The sequence below is a fragment of the Homo sapiens genome, chromosome 18, assembly GCF_000001405.40.
Source record: "Homo sapiens chromosome 18, GRCh38.p14 Primary Assembly".
Lineage (NCBI taxonomy): Eukaryota > Metazoa > Chordata > Mammalia > Primates > Hominidae > Homo > Homo sapiens.
The window spans coordinates 33344702-33365822 of record NC_000018.10 but is presented as its reverse complement, the minus strand read 5'-3'; the positions used below and the strand labels follow the sequence as shown (position 1 = coordinate 33365822).

At 33.0% G+C, this 21121-nt stretch overlaps 1 protein-coding gene across 10 annotated transcripts in view; it reads left to right on the top strand.

Annotated features, from left to right (window-relative positions):
* CCDC178 (coiled-coil domain containing 178) overlaps nucleotides 1-21121 on the top strand; it is a 503635-nt gene that overhangs the window by 75218 nt on the left and 407296 nt on the right. For 8 of the 10 annotated variants that reach the window (NM_001371120.1, NM_198995.3, XM_011525951.2 and 5 more), the window contains exons 7-9: nucleotides 9477-9499; nucleotides 16848-16933; nucleotides 19412-19612. In NM_001371120.1, the coding sequence (NP_001358049.1) occupies nucleotides 9477-9499; nucleotides 16848-16933; nucleotides 19412-19612 (310 nt within the window). Of the gene's footprint in view, nucleotides 1-9476; nucleotides 9500-12433; nucleotides 13197-16847; nucleotides 16934-19411; nucleotides 19613-21121 lie in introns of those variants that run through there. The other 2 variants (XM_017025725.1, XM_017025724.2) reach the window with 2 other exon arrangements.

The following is a 21121-nucleotide window of genomic DNA, read 5'->3' as shown; positions in this document are numbered from 1 at the left end:
CTTATTCTCTTAGACTGCCTAGACTGTAAATAGTTTTATTTAATTTAGAGTGAGCACTACAGAATTAAAATTTTCCTCTTCATTTAATCAATATCAGTCATTAGGATGCTACTGTAACTTAAAAGAATAACACAGAGAGAAAGCATTTAAAAAACATTCTTTAAAATGTTAACAATATATTGTACAAAATTAATAACATCAACTATGATAATAAAGCTAATATTTATAAAATGATTACCAAATATAGACTTATTAAACACTTAATATGCATAATTTCATTGAATTCTTATTAAAACCTTATTAGATAGAAACTGCCATTATTTCCAGTTGCAGATGAGGAAAATGATTTCAGAGGCTGATTTCTCCCGAGATCTAATGTCAGTGGCAGAGCCAGCATCCAGACCAGGTGTATCCGAGCTCTAAGCACATCCGGTTCAGCACTGTGCCATGACATCGTGTCCTTGACAATGTGTCAGCTATTAAGACCAAAGACATGAATGTTAAAAAGTTTGTCATTCTCATTGGAAAACTTGGCTCTTTTTATACCACTTCATATCTATTTTTTAACTCTGAAACCTAACATTTAACACCTGACTCTTTACTAAGTTTCTTATACTTTGAGTTCTCTCATTCTATTAGTTCTATTGTATTTAACTTGAAACTTATGAGCACTTCAAATGCTGATATATCTGGTTTCCTATTCTGTGGTTCCTATTTTCCTTTAGTTTCTTGCCTAATCAATTAATCTCTCTAAACATTCATCAGTTGGAGTATTTGGTCCTTTACTTTTTATCCTGTCATCCTTCTAGTCTGACAAAATGCCAACCCCAAATATCTCTGATGGTCTGCCATCCCCACTCCCACCCCTGGTCTGCTGAATGGTACTGGAGAACATTACCCAAAATTTAAGATGTTATGTAACCATAGTCTCCACCCTCAGTTGTACATTGTATAGTGCTCTGAAATTATTGTTTGTCAATTGAAATTTTTCTAGTAGTCTGTGGTGGCTACTCCAATGTTTTTTTGTTCAAACCTCTAAATCTTCTACCTTACAGCTCATTTCTTTCTTTGCAAAAAAAAAAAAAAAAAAGGAGCGACAACAGAAATGCTTCAAACTGTTGTTATCTCACCTATGGACATCCCTGAACACAAATATTGTTCTTTTTGTCCCCCACCCACCTAGAGCTGTTCCCCTCACTGCATTGCATATTCTACCTTTGCAAGGATCTTGCTCCGTCAGTTGTGTCTTCTCTCAGCATTCTGTCTTTAAAAAATCTCCTTTTTTTCTTAGCTCCTGTACACATTGAAGATACTGATGTATCTCCTATTTTTAAGAACATTTTAAAATTCTATACAGACCTTTAAATATCTCCCCTTGTCTTTCTTTCTCCATTCCACTTAGCATCTGAAAGTTGTCTATATTTAGTATCTAATTCCACACCTCCCAATCACTCATTTATTCTTTGCAGTCTAGAATTTTTCCCCATTCTAATGAAAATATTTTGAGCAAAGTAACCATTTATCTTTTTTTCTTTTACCTATTGGTATACATGCACATACGTACATATACACATGTACTCCAACACTTTGTGGCTAGAACACAAGCATTTACGTGGTTACAATTCAGCAATTTGTTCTGGACTCAGCTGGGCAGTTTTGCTGGTTCTTGCCTGGGACCAATCATGTGGATACACACATCTGGTAGCACAACTGGGAATAATGATTAAAATGGTCTCACTCACATGGTTGTTGGCTGTTAGAGCGTATTTCAAGAGGATGAATCTCAACAGACAAGTGCTTAACAAAGCTTTGCCTGTGTCATGTATGCTGAAGTCCCGCTGACCAAAGCAAAGCACATAGTCAATCCCACTGTTAATGCAGGAGAGTACTAGAAAAGATGTGGATCCAGAAGACAAGATTCTATGGGAACAATTTAGGTAGCAATCTATCAGTCCATTGCCACATGATTAATACTGCTCCCCAAATGCAAACTACAATGACCTTTTCTTAAAACAGTTTTATATCTTTCTGGTATCATGAATATCCATAATTACATGTTCTGTAACAGATCTGATACAGATGAAGTTCCTTGTGTGCAACTTCTTTTGACCCATAGATCTATGAACTAAAGTGAAAAGTCAAATACTGCTCCTGCATACTTAGTATACACAGTGAAGAAGGGATAGAATAATCACAATAAACCCCTCATTCAAAAAGGGGAAGAATGAAGACATAGGGCTTTCACTGATCCATAAAATTCTGAATTTTATCAGCATATGGTGTCAGGTTCCCCAAATCTAGGACCAAGAAATGTTTTTTTATTAGAACCCAGTTCTGCTCATTGGGAATAATTTATTGGTCTGTGGTCCTCACTGGCTGTTTGATTTACTCTCAACTCTTGGCTCCAGAGGTACTTTCATTTCTGTAGAAAATGGATCTGAGTTCCTATCTCAGACTTCTTCCTGCTTCTTATAAGTTGAGAGCTCAGAAGCTTCTTTGCATTTTCAACTGTCTCTTGGTTTTTAGTCCAAGATGCCACAATTCTAATGAAAACTTTGAAGTTTCGTATGAATCTGATTTGGTTTACTTCCATGCCCCAAAAGCCCCAGCCATATTCTTTTGCTTTATTTGCTTTATTAAAACATACTTTCCTTGAATTAGATAATTATGTTTTATGTTCCTCTAATTTGTTTTTTTTAAATAAAATTTTTTTAGAACACTTTAGACCTACAGAACAATTGAGAAGATAGTGTAGGGAGTTCATGTATATTCTGGATCCAGTTTTTAAAAATATCTCATTAGTATGGTATCTTTGCTGTAATTAATGAACCAGTATTGACACATTTATAATTAAAATTTGTAATTTACTCAGACTTCCTAAGTGATTTTAAAAGTTGAGGTGCAATTCACATCGCATAAAATTAACCATTTTTAAGTGAGCAACTCCGTAACATTTAGTTTATGTAATGTGTAATCACCACTATATTTAGCTCCAAAGCATGTTCACTACTCCAGAATAAAACCCCATATCCATTAAGAATTTACTCCTAATTCTCTTCTTAACCCAAGTCTTGCAACTACCAATCTGCTTTCTTTTGAAATAAATTTTATTGCGTTTATTTGAGGTTTACAACATGCTGTTTTGGGATACATACAGACAGACACATATAGATGGTATAGTAGTACAATGGTTACTATAGTGAAGCCGGCTAACATATCTATGTTAGTCTCATATATTTCACATAGTGACATCCTTGTGACAAGAGCAACAAATACCTACTTATTTAACAAAAATCCCTAATATAATACAATTTTATTAACTTTAGTCCTCATGTTTTACATTAGATCTCTAGACGTGTTCATTTTCCATATCTGCTGCTTTGTATCCTCTGACCTGCATCTCTGCATTTCCTCTTCCCGACTCCCACCTGTGGTAACCACTGTTTCATTCTCTACCTGTGTATTTGAACTCCTTAAAAAAATATATTCCACATGTAAGTAAGGTCATGCAACATTTTTCTGTGTCTGCCTTATTTCCTTTAGTATAATGTCTTCCAGGTCCATTCATGTTGTGGCAAATAACAGGCTCTCCATTTTTTATAAGGCTGAATATTAGCTATATATATATATATGTATATATATACATACAGACATACACACATAAACATATAGACACACATACACATGCATACATGCGTGTATGTGTACATACACAGAGACACAAACACACTCCTACATTTTCTTTATTCACTTATTCATCGATGAACATTCAGGTTGTTTCCATATCTTGGCTATTGTGAATAATGCTGCAGCGAATATGGGTGTGAAGATATCTTTACGAGCTGGTGCTTTCATCTCCTTTGGGTATATACCTAAAAGATGAATTGCTGGGTCATGTGGTAGTCCTATTTTTAATTTCTTTAGGAACCTCCATACTGTTTTCTCTAATGGCTGTACCATTCTACCTTCCCACCAACAGTTGTACTAGGGCTCCCTTTTCTCCATACCCTCACCAACATTTATCTCTTGTCTTTTTTATAGTAGTCATCCTTATGTGTGTGAGAAGATATCTCATAGTGGTTTTAATTTGCATTTCCTTGATGATTAGTGATGTTGAGCACCTTTTTGCATACCTGTTTTCCATTTATATATTTTTTGAAGATACGTCATGTCCTTTGCCCATTTTTAAATCAGGTTATTTGGTTTTTGCTAATGAGTTTAAGAGTTTTTAATACATTTTTCATATTAACTCCTTATCAGATATGTGGTTTCCAATTATTTTTTTCCTAGTATGTAACTGGACTTTTCATTTTTTTTTAGTTTGATGCAGTTCCATTTCTGTATTTTTGTCTTTGAAGTCTGAATTTTTGGTGTGATTCCCAAAAGTTGTTGTCAAGACCAATGTGAAGGAGCTTTTCCTCTATGTTCTTTTCTAGGAGTTTTATGGCTTCTGATCTTAAATTTAGGTCTTTTATCCATTTTGAATTGATTTTTGTGTATTGTTTAAGATAAGAGCCAATTTCATTCTGTTGGTGATAGAAATTTAGTTTTCCCTGCATCATTTATTGAAGAGACTATTCTTTCCTCATTGTGTCCTTTTGATGCCTTTGTCAAAAATTAGTTGTCCGTCTGTGTTTTAACTTATTTCTGGACTCTCTATTCTATTCCATTGGTCTATGTTTTTGTTTTTATGCCAGGACCATACTGTTTTGATTATGATTGCTTTGTAATATAAGTTTAAATCAGGAAGTCTGATGCTTCCAACATTACCTTTTTTCCTCAGTATTGTTGGGACTTTTGGTGTTTTTTTATGGCTCTATATTAATTTTATATTCTTTTTCTATTTCTGTGAAAATAGTCATTGGAATTTTTATCGACATGGCATTAAATCTATATATTGCTTAGAGTACTAGGATTATTTTAGCAATATTAATTCTTCCCATTTGTAAACACATATTTATTCATTTATTTGCATCACGCTCAATTTCTTTCATTAATGTTTTATAGTTTTAGTGTGCAAATCTTTCAGCTACTTGATTAGACTTATTCCAAGGCATTTTATGCTGTTATAAATGGGATTGTTTTCTTAATTTCTTCTTCAGCTAGATCATTATTCATGTATAAAAATGCTACTAGTTTTTGTACATTGATTTTGTATCTTGCAACTGCTGAATTTATTAGTTCTAACAGGTTTTTTTGTGTAGCATTGAGGTTTTCTGCTTATAGGATCATGTCATCTGCAAATAGAGATAATTTTCCTTTTTTCATTTTCAATTTTGATAGCTATATCTATTCTGGATATTAGATATAAATAAAATCATACAATATGTGACCTGCATTTTTTTCACTTGACATAATGTGGGAGGTCGATCCACATTGTAGCATGTTTCAGTACTTTGTTTCTTTTTATAGCTGAATAATCTATTGTGTATATATACAACGATTGGTATCTGTCCATCTGTTGATAGTCATTTGGGTTGTTCCCCTTTGTCTATAGTACAGAGGGCTACTATGAACATGCATGTAGTATATATTATATAATTATATATTATATAAGGATTTGATTAAGTACCTGTTTTCAGTTCTTTTGAGTATATACCTAGGAGTGGAACTGCTGTATCATGTGATGATTCTATATATAACTTATTGAGAAACCATCAAATTATTTTCCATAGCCCAACTGTTTTAAATTCCCACCAGCAATATAAATGTGTTCTAATTTCTTCACATCCTTATTAGCACTTGTTATCGTCCATTAAAAAAAAATTTCTAACATAAGGTTAATTATTTTCTTATTTTTACAGTGGAAAATAGAAGGTTTCATGAATACTTTTTGTCTCAATAATAGCATTAAAATATTTAAATATTTGGTAATAATTTCCAATAAAAATATAGACTTAAATAAACAAGGTCAATGGAAATGTTAGATTTATCAAGCAGAAGTTTGTGGGCAATGTGGCTTAGAGCTGTAAGTAAATGAAGTGTTTCATTTCCCCCATAATGTAATAATATTTTAAACTACATCGAATCGGGCAATTTTAGCTCTCCCTCCTCCTTTGTTTTCATTTGCTATTTTGGTAAAATCAGAAATGAGAATTGTATGGAGTCTTGTAGTTAGTTTGATATAATTGATTATATTAGGTATTTTCATCGAAGCATCTACATAACACAAATGTTTATGACAAGTGAAATTCTAAGCTTAATTATAATCAGGAATTTTATTTAAAATAATGATTTAAAGTGACTTTGATAAACTTCTAAAATTTGTCCAGATTTTTCAGATAGGCAGTTATGAATATAAGACTTCAAATGTTTCTCTGGAATTGTAGGCCTTCTCTGTGTTAACCACTTCAATATCCTGAATAAATAGTATTTAAATGCTAGGTACCAGAAATTTTGCCTCCACACATCAGATCAAAGACTGACTAAAGTAATTTTTTAATTATTTCTTTGTTACTTACTTCTAAACAAAGTTGCTAAGGTAATGTTTTGATATATTACCTTAAAACGTTTCTTCATATGAAATTGCACTCTGCTTCAAAAATTTGGAGTAATAATGTTTTATCTTTATAAAATAAATGATTTTCTATTGAGCTATAAAGATCAAGCTGAGACTATTAATTATTACTAACTTGTTGAGGACTTCAGAAGTTTTGGATAATTATATCACAATTCATTGAAGTGCCTCTTAACCAATTTTCCCCTGACTCTCTTGTGATACTTCAACTTCAAATGGCTTCTTAGAACTGTCACATAAATCAACATCATGTGGATTTCTGCATTATGCAGGACTGTGAATGCCAGTTTCCAAAATCAAGGAATAACATTTTCCTGATTATTAATTAGTTTAGAATCTTATTAACATGCTCACTGAATTTTTATTCTCTTCTCTGCAAAATGCCAATTTATCTTTTGCCACTTTCTTTTGGGTTTACTTGTATTTTCTTATTGACTTTTAGGAACTTGTTACCTTTAGTAAGTTGTATATGTTGTAAACACTTTCTCTCAGTTTGTGACTTGTCTTTTTACTTTATTAATTTTAATGTAATTAAATTTATCACTTTACTTTTGCTTTTAAGTGATTTGTGTCTTGTTTAAGAAAAATTTCCATACCACAATGCTATAACAGTTTTACTTTATAGCTACTAAAATTTTAATTTTTCTTTGGAGATTTGCTCAATAATGTGAAATTGATTTCTTTTTTGCATATGAATGGAATTGATAGCTAATTTTACTAAGGAAAATTAGTTTTTTCCACATTGATTTTATTTCAAATCCAGTCATTTCTTATAAATCAGCCATACCATATCCATCATACATCAAAGTTTCATGTATGATTTTACCTATTTCTGGCCTGTTCCATCCCACTAGTCAATTTTACCTCCCTATGCCAATATCTGCTTTCAGTCATTTACATGAGTCATAATATGTTTTGATATCTCATATGGTACTTCTTTTTACCTTTTTAGAGTTCTTCGGGTATTCTTGATGCAGTGCTCTTCCATATAAATTTTAGAATAAGCTTGTCATATTATATGAAAAAAATCTATTGGGATTTTAAACATAATTGCATTCCTCAGTTTTTTATTATGTACATGAATTTAGTCTTTTTCATTATTTGGTCAATGATGTACCACATATACAACAGTGGTCTCATGAGATTACAATATTGTATTTTTACTGTATCTTGTCTATATTTTGATATATTTAGATACACAAATACATTGTGCTATACTTGCCTACAGCATTCAGTATGGTAACACACTGTGCAGGTTTGTAGGCCAGGGGCAATAGACTATACCATATAGCCTAAGTGTGTAGTAGGCTATACCACTGAGGTTTGTATAAATATACTCTTATGATGTTCGCACAATGACAGAATTGCCTAGCAATGAATTTCTGAGAATGTATCACTGTCATTAGTGACACATGACTATATATGTATATATTAATGTGAATGTGTGTGTGTATACACACACACACACATGCATACACATATATATATATATCATATAATTTTTTTGTTCAGATTTTGGTAGGATATGGGAACTAGAGAGAAGTAATCATGTATGCCAAATAAACATCTTGAATGAGAGATAATCTATGAAACCTGTAACATTCTGGTTTTGCATTTTTGATAATTTATGACTTGTACAACCCAAGGTACTCTTAGAATATATCTGTAGAAAATAACCCTGCCAATGACTTTATAGTCCAGAAAAGGCATAATATTATGGAAAGCTAAATATGTGAACTCAGGTATAATTTTGTATTCACCACTCTTTGGTAACACATTACAATTCAATAGATGTCATGTACTTCTGACTGTTAGGAAAGTCTTTTGGGAATAAATAGCAGTTGAACTGTCCCTTGATGAATGTGTAAGATTTAGAATCACAGAGACAAGGTCAGAACAATTAGGTGGGGTTAAGAATAAAACAATATGAATAGATAGGAGATTTATGTACTTCTTGGGAAACAACTGTAAACCAATAAGTTTATGAGATAGGTCTTAATCAATTTAGAGGTTTATTTTGCCAAGGTTAAGAACCATGGTCCATGGCAGCCTCAGGAGGTCCCAGGAACATGTGCCCAAGGTGGTTTGGTTACAGCTTGATTTTATACATTTTAGGGGGGCAGAAGTTACAGGGAAAGACATAAATCAATACATGCAAGTTATACATTGGTTAGGCCTGGAAAGGTGGGACATCTAGAAATGGGGGCTTCCAGGTCATAGGTGAATTCAGGTTTCCTGATTGGTAATTGGTTGAAAGATATGACTTGCCTGAATTGTTGAATTCACCATTAAAAAAAAAAAGCCAAAGTTCTTGTCATGTAGATGAAGCCTCCAGGTAGCAGGCTTCAGAGAGAATAGGTGGTGAATGTCTCTTATCAGACCTTGAAAGTGTCAGGCTCCCTAAAAAGGACCTAGTAAGGGAAAGAGATTCTCTACAGAATGCAAACTTCTGCCACAAGAGACGGTTTTGCAGGACTGTTTCTGAATATGTCAAAGAAGTATATTTTGGAGTGAAATACTTTGATTTCTTTCAAGGCCTGTTATCTGTCATGTGATGCTATATCAGAATCAGGTGGGAATTTGGTATATTATTGCTACAAAGAGTCTTTTTTGTTTATCTTAAGATTTCTGTTTTAATTTTAATGCTGGTCTGTTGTGTCTAGATTACAAAGGCAGGAGGTTATAATGAGGCATGTCTAACCCCCTTTCCTATTCATGTCCTTAACTAGCTTTTTAGGTTTCTTTGGGGTCCCCTTGGCCAAGAGTTGGGGGGACCTACTCAGTCAGTTGGGGGGGCTTAGAATTTTATTTTTGGTTTATACAACCGAGAGTATAAGTACACAAAAATATAATGAAGTAGAGATATGTAAAGTAGAGAATTGACAAGTTTAAGTGACATTTATTCAGTTTTTTAATATGTTTAAGATTTGATTTTTATTGAGATCTTTTGTTTTGACAGTTTGAAACTTCTTTTGAAGAATGGTAAGAAAATTTCATGCTTTTTAAAACTATTTTATTTTTAATGTCCAAATTTCAATCATCTGCTATAATCCAGTTTAACTTCAAAAGGAATAGAAAATCGAATGCAAGATTTTTCACAATAGATATTGCAATATATTTTTTAAAATATAAGAATGAGGACATCACTGATAATGGCAAACTAGAGATCTCCAGAGCTCCACCCCTCCACAAAAACAACTATAAAATTTGCAAAAACATCAGTCAGAATCGACTTTTACAGAAATCTGGAATCCAGTAAAAATTTAATAACCACTAGGGGAAAATTCAATGAAGAAGGAAGCTGCTTCATTGCATTAAGAGAGCACTGTGGCATTGTAATTTGCCTGCTCAGCATTCTCCAGCCTTCAGACTGGTGGCAGCTATGAAGAGAGCAGTGTACACCTATGGTGCAGATTCCTAGTGCCAGAGGGAATAATAGGAACATCATTCTCAAAGAATTGTGTTTGAGTGATCTGATAGCTCCCAGAAAGACTAGCATAAGGACTTTGCTTGACTTGGAGGAATCACAAGGCTGGGGCTACTTACAGGCAGTGTTTGCAAAAAGCATTTAAAGGCATATACTTGCCATAGCAGCCTGAGGCTATAGATAACAGCTAGGACAAGCATTAACCAGACGAAAATTCCTGTGAAAAAATAGGTTGGAAAAAGAGATAGATACATGAAGGAAAATCTCTCAATATACTGGAGATTTGATAGAACACAGAGGGCTGGAAAAATGTTCAAAAAAGACTTGAGAAGATCCTAATCTTACTTCTGGCTGACCTTTAGGATCTGCATGGGCAGGAATTGAAGACAGAGTCAGGGTTTAAACAGCCTGGGTAAGCCTCGAAGGATTACCCTAACACAGACCAAATCTGCCAAGATTGGAGAGTATTGTTTTTCTTTTTCCTTTCTTTTGTTGCCAGCCATTTAAGTGAACTCACACAAAACACTAGCTCACCAGTAAGCTAAGGAAACAGATTTCAGTGATTACACATGACAAATAATACAGCCATTATGAAAGAGTGTTTGGAAGAGTCACTAAACAAACAATAACCCACTACAGACAGAAAAAGCAAATCCAATAGTGTAATCTGGTTTTTATTTCACATTAAAATATTCAAAATGTCCAATTTTCAAAAAGTAAATATGAAGAATGCAAAGAAAAGAAAGCTTGGGTCATTCACAGTGAAAAAGGATAAATTAACATAAACTGTTCTCAAGGGAACCCAAAATTTGGACTTACTGGACAAAGATAAATCAATTGACTTAAATATCTTCAAAGAGATAAAGGAAACCATGAACAAATAACTAAGTTAAAGCAGAAAAGTGATGTTTCAACAAATATAAAATCTCAATTAGAGAAATTATAAAAATTAACCAAATAGAAATTCTAGGCTGGGTGCGGTGGCTCATGCCTGTAATCCCAACACTTTGGGAGGCCAAGGCGGGTGGATCATGTCAGGGATTCAAGACCAGCCTGGCCAATATGGTGAAACCCCGTCTTTACTAAAAACAAATACAAAAATTAGCTGCGCATGGTGGCCTGCACTTGTAGTCCCAGCTACTCAGGAGGCTGAGGCAGGAGAATCACTTGAACCCGGGAGGTGGAGGTTGCAGTGAGCCAAGATCGTGCCACTGCATTCCAACCTGGGCGACAGAGTGAGACTCTGTCTGGAAAAAAAAAAAAAAAAAAATTCTGGAACTGAAAAATAAACTAACTGAAATTAAAAACTTCACTAGAAGGGTTCAGTAGCAGCTTTGAGCAGTCAGAATAATCAGTGAATTTGATGATAAGTTAATAGAGATTATCTAGTCTAAGAAACAAGAAAGACAAGAGAATAAAGAAAAATGAAAAGTGCCTAATAAGCCTAAGGGATACCATCAAGCATAATAGCAGTCAAAAAGTGAGAAGAAAGGGCTAGAGAATGAAAAAATATTTGAAGAAACAATGGCTAAGAAACTCTTCAATTTGATGAAAGACTTAAATCTATGCATCCATTAAACTCAATGAACTCCAAATAGAATCAAGTCAAACAGATCCACACCCATATACATTTTAGTTAACTTGTCAAATGCCTGGGACAAAGAGAATCTGGAAAGCAGCACAAGAGAAGCAACTTTTCATGTACCAGGGACCCTCAGTACGATTAACAGTGAATTGTTCATTAGGAATTGTGGAAGTCAGAATGCAGTGGGGTGACATATTTAAATGCCAGAAGAAAAAAAAGAAACTGTCAATGAAGAATTCCGAATCTAGCAAGAGTATCCTCAAAAATAAAGGAGAAATTAAGACATTCTCAGATAAACCAAAGGGGTGTATCACTAGCAGTCCAGTTCTATAAGAAATCCTATAAGTAGTCTTTCAGGCTGAAATGAAACGACACTAGAGAGTAACTGGAAGCCATATGATAAAATAATAAACAATAATAAAGGTAACTACAAAGGTAAGTATAAAATCCAGTATAAGTGTATTTTTGTTTTGTAATTCTTATTTGTTTCCCTATATGATTATAAGGTCAAATGGATAAAATTCATAATTATAAATTTATGCAAATGAACACAAAATGGATAACTATGTAATTTGTGAAATTGACACCATAAGAGAAAGAGCAGAGACATAAAGGAACAGAGTTCTTTATATATAAATAGATAGGTATACTATTGAAGCTACATTGATTTTAATTCAAGTTTTATAGAGTTAAGATATTAATTGTAATCCTCAGGATAAACACTAAGATTCTATTTTAGACAGTACAGGAAAACAAAGAGGGAAACTAAACAATATATAGAAAAAAATCAACTAGTTACAAATAAGGCAGTTATGGAGGAGTTCAGAAATAAATAATATAGAAAATGAATAGCAAAATGGCAAAAATAATCCCTTCCTTATCAGTAATTACTTCTTATATAAATGGATTAAACTCTCCAATTGAAAGGTAGAGCATGGTAGAATGGATAAGAATAGATAATCCAACTATTCTGTCTATGAGAGTCTCACCTGAGATACAAAGACATAAGTAGCTTAAAAGTGGAAGGATGAAAAACCATATTCCATGCAAATAGTAAGTAAAAGAGAGCTGGAGTGACTATACCAATATCACACAAAATAGGCTTTAAATCAAAGCCTGTTACAGAAGACAAAAGACTTGATACACTGATAAAAGTGTCATTCCACCAAGAAGATATATAAACTATAAATATAACACACCTAACAATATAACCTCAAAACAGACATATAAACTAACAGAATTGAAGGGAATAATAGACTGTTCTACAACAGGACTTTGAGAATTTAATGCCCCCACTTCCAATAATGGATAAAAGAACTAAGCAGAAGATCAATAAATAAATAGACTTGAATAACATGAACCAACAAGACCTAACCAGTTTATACAGAATACTCCACTTAACAACAGCAGAAAACACATTCTTCTCATGTGCACATGGACCATTCTTCAGGATAGATCATATATTATGCCACAAAATAAATCTCAATGAAACGAAAAAGATCAAAATTATACATGGTATTTTTTTCTGACCCAATAGAATGAAACTGGAAATCAATAACAAATGGAAAACTGGAAATTTCATATATATGTGGAAATTAAACAAATCATGTTTTACAAACCAATGAGTCAAAGCAGTAATCACAGGGGAAATTAGAAAACACCTTGAGGTGAGTGAAAATGAAAACACAATGTATTTAAACTTACGAAATGCAGCAAAAGTAGTCCACAGAGGGAAATTTAGAGCTATAAATGCTTACATTTAAAAAGAGGAACTCAAATCCAGTAACCTAACTTTATACCTTAAGGAAGCAGGAGTATGCTAAACCCAAAGTTAGCAAAAGGAAGGAAATAAAGGTTAAAGTAGAAATAAATGAAATAGAGGCTAGAAAAACAGTACACAGAATCAATTAAAACAAAAGGTTTTTCTTTGAAAAGAGCAATGAAATTCACAAACCTTTAGCTAAACTAACCAAAAATAAAAAGAAGACTCAATTACAAATTAACTAAAATAATATAAAAACTGGGACACTACAACAGATTCTGCAGAAATAAAGAGGATTAAAAGAGGATACTAGGAACAAATGGGTATCAACAAACTAAATAACGAAGATGAAAGGGACTAATTCTTAAAAACACATAAACTACTAAAACTGTCTCAGGAAGGGGTAGAAAACCTGAACAGAACTATGACAAATAAAGTGATTGAATCAATAATCAAAAATTTCCCCAACAAAAAAAATCTCAGGACCAGATGGCTCCACTGGTAAATTCTACTAAACATTGAAAGAAGAATTAACATCAGTCCTTCTCAAACTCTTCCAAAAAATAGAAAAGAAGAGAATAATTTCTAAGTCATCCTATGAGCCCAGCAATAACATGATAGTGAAACCAGACAAAGACATCAGAAGCAAACTATAGAATATATCTGAATATACATGACAGGCCGGGCACAGTAGCTCACAACCTGTAATCCAAGTACTTTGGGAGGCCAAGGCAGAGGATCACTTGAGCCCAGAAGTTTGAGACAAGCCTAGGCAACATAATCAAAACCCATCTCTACAAACAAACAACAACAATGAAAAAATGAGCCAGGTGTGGTGGCGCATGCCAGTAGTCTTAGCTACTCCAGAGACTGAGTTTGGAGGATTGCTTGAGCCCAGGAGGTCAAGTTTACAGTGAACTGTGATTGTGCCACTGTACTTCAGCCTGGGCAACAAAACAAAACAAACAAACAAAAAATGACAAAATCCTCAACAAAATACTATCAACCTGAGTCCAGCAATGCATTAATATAATTATACGGCCGGGCACAGTGGCTCACGCCTGTAATCCCAGCACTTTGGGAGGCCAAGGCTGGTGGATCACCTGAGGTCAGGAGTTTGAGACCAGCCTTGCCAATATGGTGAAACCCCGTCTCTACTAAAAATACAAAAATTAGCTGGGTGTGATGGCGGGCGCCTGTAATCCTAGCTACTTGGGAGGCTGAAGCACAAGAATCACTTGAACCTGGGAGGCAGAGGTTGCAGTGAGCCAAGATCGCTCCACTGCACTCCAACCTGGGCGACAGTGAGACTTTGTCTCAAAAAAACAAAGAAACAAACAAAAACTATACACACACACACACACACACACACACACACACACATCATGATCAGTGAGATTTATCCTAGAAATGCAAGAGTGGTTTAGCATACGAAAATTAGTTAACATGTGACACAAGCCCACACCTTTAGTAAAACTAGATTGTAAGGGAACTTTATTAAACACAATAAAGGATATTTATGAGAAACCCTTAGTTTATATTATACCTGATGGTGAAGACTGAAAGTTTTTATCTTAAGAACAGGAGCAAAACAAGGATGCCCACTCTTTCCACTTTTCTTCAACATTAGAACCCTTGCATATTGCTGGCGTGAATATAAAATAGTTTAGATACCGAGAAACAGTTTGTCGGCTCCTCAAAAAGTGAAACCTAGAATTACCTATCACTCAGCAATTTGACTGCAAGATATATACCCAAAAGGATTCAAAACATGTTCAAACAAAAACTCATATACAAATGTGTATAACATCTATATTCACAATAGCCAAAAGGTGGACACAATCCCCAAATCCATCAATGGATTAATAGATAACCAAATGTGTTGTATATACACAATGGAATATTATTCCACCATTAAAAGAAATAAAATTCTTCTACATACTGCAACATGGAGAAATCTTGAAACTATTATGCTAAGTTAAAAAGTCACGAAAGGTCACTTATATGATTACATTTCTATAAAATATTCATGAAAGTTCATCCACAAAGACAGCAGATTAGTCATTGCTATGGGATAGTGGGTTGAAGAAAGGGGAGAGACTGCTTAATAAGTAGCATATGTTCTTTTGGAGTGATGAAAATATATTGGAATGAGATGGGATGATAGTTGTACGATGTTGTGAATGTATTAAATGCCACTAAAGTTTCCACTTTCAAATGTTTAATATGTTATGAGACTTTGGCTCAATTAAAAAAATAGAAAAATTAGCATAGAATTTTACTGGTCCAAGAATTAACCGAACTTTAGAAGATAATACACAAAATGATCTAATTATGTATAATAATTTACTATATCATGTAAATGGTATTAAGCCAGCAGGGAAAGTACTATTTAATAGTTGATGCTGGGACAATTATTTTTCAATTTTTTAAAAGAAAAATCAGAAAAAATATACTTTTCAACAAAAATATTCTGAAATAAATATGAAAACTAAAGGAAGAAAATATAAAGGATATTTCTCTGACCTTGGAATTGACAGAGTTACCTAGATAAGTTGTGGAACAATGACAAGAAAAATAATTTGTAGCCATTAGAAATATGAAATGGTAGTAAAATACACTGAAAATAATTTCAAGTAACTAAAGCAGAATGTATAATTGTGACTCTAATTTTATAAGAATTAAAATATCATTAGACTATTCTATTTGATCTCTGAAGAATAAATATGGATTATATTATTTTTTATGATTTTTGGTATGTATACAGTTTTCTTAATTTAGAATACTTCTTTAATAAAAAATAATGTAATGAAAATTTCAAAAAGAAATTCTCTGCTTTGTTGTTGATACCAATTTTCTTGTAACTTTGATCAGAGAAAAAACACTTTTAAAAAATGTATAATGAAGGCTAGTTTAGGATTCTAGAATCACACCAGAGAAAGATGGAGAAATAGTTTATTATTCAACATACAGAATTTTAGCTAGAAAGGAAATAACATTTTAATTTATAGTCACCTCTCAAGACACTACAGTTTAGTGTTGTCCAGTAGAACTTTCTATGATAATCAATGTTCTATATTTGTACTTTCCAACAGTATAGCTACTAGGAAGGAAACAACATTTTAATTTAGATATTTTTCTAAAAGTTTATTATCTGAAATGATATTTTTACTCATTGTAATTTACATTGATTTCCCAGGCACTACTGAACTGAAATTACAGAAATCATTCATCCAAATTATTCTCACAGAATACCCTTTGTCTTACAGAAACACTTTCTAGGAATGACCAATTTCTTTAAAAAAATGTAGTTTTAATATCTTCTCAAGACATTTTGGGTCATTTGTAACTAATTTTAAGTTTTTATTAATTTACCGTTAAGTGTAAATCCCATTACCTATTAGAATTTTGCTATATTAGTCTCCTATCTAGTAAGATTATCTTGTATAGTAAGTTTCACCACAAATATTTAAAATTCAATAGAAGAGCATAACCTAAAATTTGTTTTACTAACTTTAAGTACTTCTTTACTGCTTGCTTCTTTCCCATTATATAGGAGCAGAACTTCTTCCACAAAAGACCTGAAAGAAGATTGGAGTGTAACTACACCAGTGAAAGAGGTCAAACCAGGAGAAAAGAGAGGTAAAGTTGTTCCTCCTACTTGAATAACTGTATATATTTAAAAGTTCATTGACTTCATTTAATATATTTCTGATTGTCACAATAATCATGTTTAAGAATTTTATAATTATTATGAATGTTTAATAGACAAAATAGTCCTCTATATCATTTGATTAAGCATTCATTCAACAAATATTTATTAGTGAATATTATACACCAAGTACTGGTTTAGGTGATGAGTGTATAATGATGGCTATCCACTTCTCAAGAAGCTATTTGTAGTTTAGTGTTGCCCAATAGAACTTTCTGTGATAATCAGTATTCCATGTGTATATTGTCCAGTAGAATAGCTACTAGCCACGTACAGCTGTTGAACCTTTGAAATGTGGCTAGTAAGACTGAGGAACTTAATTTTTAAGTTTAATGTGAATTAAGTTGCATATAAATGTAAATGGTTGCATGTGGATGATGACTACCATATTGAAAATTGCAGTTCTAGTATATATTTAAGTTGTGATAAATATTCTTATCACAATTTATAAAATATATATTTTATATACAGGTATAAAATTTGTGTTAACACTACTTCAGTGTATTTAAATATATTATTGAGATTTTATGTAGTACCTCCTCTTCCCCTACCACAAAAAATTGCTAAATCCTTGAGTGAAAACTAAGTAATAAACTCAGGACTTTTTAAAAGCAAGAATATTTTGTTTTTCAAAGCTTTCATTCATAGCAAAGCTTTGTTTCTACTGTTTTATTTTTCATTATTTGTGCCTATAGTGAAAACGAGGACCTTAATCATTACTTATCAAGTTTTCACATAACAAATGCTGAGAAAAAATAGATATATTAACAATCACAACTACAATTCCATTAGCTACAATTATGTTTATTATCAGTATGTACATTTGAGGTCTAAAACATACAGCAATAGCAGGATGAGGAAGATTTGTTGTAATCAAGGCCTTATGCTAAAAAATTGCAGGTAGTTGCTTAGAACAGTAATATGAAACTGCAAAACTGAGATGGCACTCAAGAAAAAAAAATGAGATGTTAAATACAATGAATTTGAGGCATCTCAAGTTACCTATACGGCATTTGTTTTGGAATTTATTATTGAAATAGTATAAAAGACAGCTCCTAGAAACATAATGAACACCTTTGCTAAAACACATATATATTCAATCAGAAGTATTTTAATTATAAGTGGTATTAATTTATTCATATATTCCAGACTGAAATCTTGTTATTGTAATTGATATGAATCACAAATTGGCTGGAGAACAAGTGTTGAGTGAATATGTTTTCATTTAAAAAAGACAATTAATTTTAAAGTATCCAAGATGTGGTAGAATTTGACAAAAGAAAACAATAGATTCAAAGATGCCAAATAAAGGACCAGTGTAGAGAAAATCATATTTATGCATTAAAAATAGGGAAACCGGTTTTATAAGAATGCTTCTGAGGCAGCATGCTGGATTTCTTTGACAAGTCCAATGGGTTAAAAAATAGTGATTGTATGACTGCTGAGCTTGCGCTTATCACCGTTATTTAATACTCCCATCTAGCAGAAAATCATTGTCTTTATTGTCCAAAAGCAACATAAAAAAGAAATGTATTCGTTTTCTTTCTTCTTGGTGCAGTTTAGCTATTTTTCCTCTAGCCTCAGTTCTTTCGGGGCCTTATTTCTTAACACTTTGTATTTATGTGTTTATATAACATTTTGGCAAAAGTCAGTGTTTATAGGCATCAGTCCTACAAGGATAGGACTCATATCTGTCTTCTTTACCTTACTTATCTCCAGCAAAGACCATGTGCTTGTTCCCGGAACGTAATGGGCTCTACACATTTATTTCATAAATGGTCAAATGAGTACCCATGGTAATAATTTTGTTAACATTAAGCCGCATCATTCCAGAACTGTGAACCAGGAATCACAAATATCTCTCATTAAAGGAGTTAATTGAGGATTAATTTAGTATTACAACTAAATAAATAGAGTTTCAAAATTCCAATGAATTCCTGGCAAAGCTAAGTAGAGAAGTTCTTATTGGATGAGATTGAAGAATATGTCTTGTTTCTAGGAACCATTATGATTATTCAGTATTTACCTGATATAATCATTATGATATGTTTTTCTTATAGAATAGGAGGACACACAAGCATGATTTTAAAATAAACCTCTATAGTACAGCTTATAAATAGCACATGTGTTTTTTCCTTCAGATAAAATGGTATTATTCCTGAAAATATTGGTTGAGATTTAGCTATTGTAATTATTTTATAAAATGTTTATTAAAAATAGGTCTTCAAAGTTTATAATTAATCTTATATTTGTATTATAATAAAACTTTTTTAAAAGGTAATTCATTTTTCTAACATTCTCTTATTAAATATATAGAAAAATATAATAATACAACTAAGGCCCATGTTCCCATCATCCAGCTTATTGACTGATTTATTAACAAATGTGAATATTTATTTCTGTTTAAGATGAAAAGTGTCCAGAGTTAAAGCAGGAAATGGAAACATTGCTCTCAGAGGCCATTCGTCTCATTAAAAGTCTAGAAACTGACCGGGCAGACGCTGAAGAAGCTTTAAAACAACAGAGATCAAGAAAGAATATGATTAACATGAAAATTGACTCTTGGTCAGTCTGGAAACTTCAAGAACTCCCATTGGCTGTGCAGAAAGGTAATAATAGGGATTTTTATATTACTTCTTATTCTGTTGGGGGCACAGATAATTAATTACAGGTCTGTATATTTTTAAAAAAATTGTCTTAGTGCCATGGCTCATGCCTGTAATCCCACGCTTTGGGAGGCTGGGGATGCGGATCACTTGAGCCCAGGAGTTCGAGACCAGCCTAAGAAACGTGGTGAAAACCTGTCTCTACAAAAAATACGAAAATTAGCCAGGCGTGGTGGTGCTCGCCTGTAGTCTCAACTACTTGGGAGGCTGAGGTGGGAGGATTGATTGAGCCCAGGAGATTGAGGCTGCAGTGAGCCCCAGGTGATAGAGTGAGATCCTGTCTCAAAAAATAAATAAATATCACCTGTTTAGAGTGACCATATTGTTTTGCATATAAACCAGCACTTTTGAAAGATGTTATTGAAGATAATGCTGGGTTCACAGATAAAAACTGTGAGACTGCACTGGACAAACCTGGACCTGATGTCCTTTGGGTCTGTTAGAAATCCAGTAGCATTTATGGTACCCACAGAGCATGCAAACATTTGGCATATATCCTATAATGACTACAGTATTTGAATTTCTAGAACTTTAGGAATTTAAAGTGATTGCCAGTTGGTGTCATTAGCCACATTTTTAGGTCTAGGAAAATTGAAAGAGTTTTAAGTGATATTTTAGGCACTAAATGCGTATGCTTTTGAGAATTTAATAGTAAATTTGCCTTGGGAACTTCTAGCAGGTATCAAAACCTAAAATGTTTCTAAGAGTCATGCAGGTAGCAAGTGTTTTACCTTTAACGAAAGGTAAAAAAGGAAATTCTTTTAGCTCACAGAGTGAGGGACCTATGGTGAAGGATTAAAGAATCTAAAGGTATTGGATTTTGTTTGTTTGTTTGTTTGTTCTACAAACCCTGTACCTATGAAAACATGCCTGACTTCCTGATTCTGCCTGAAGCTGAAAGATTTTTACTCTCTCATAGGATAAAAATTTTAATTCAGGATGCACATGTTTTGTAAGAGCTTTTTTATTAATATTAGGGTGCCCATATATGATCTATCATTTAAACCAAGAAATCTTCCAGAGAAAAAAGGGACATTATTAGTTATTACCCAGACCAACAGCCATTAATTCAAATTATAGGTCATAGTGTACTCATATTTAGACTTTTGTTATAATTTTATGTCTTCTAAAGCTGTAGTTACCAAAGTAGGGTGTATGAATTCCAGAGAGTTGCAAGAAAAGATTAGAACTTTTATATATATTTGTAAATTTTATCATTTTTGAAATTTTCTTTTTGAATAGAATTTGTACTGTGTATGCTCCACTAATATAGTAGATTTATATAATTTATAAATATATGTGTGTGTGTGTGTGTGTGTGTGTGTGTGTGTGTGTGTGTGTGTGTGTGTGCTTTAGAGGCAATGAGGCTACCATAGGGTCAGAAAAGACACCCTGGGAAATTCTGGATCCCAGTAGATTCTTGATAGACTCTGTTCACAACAACAGGAGTCA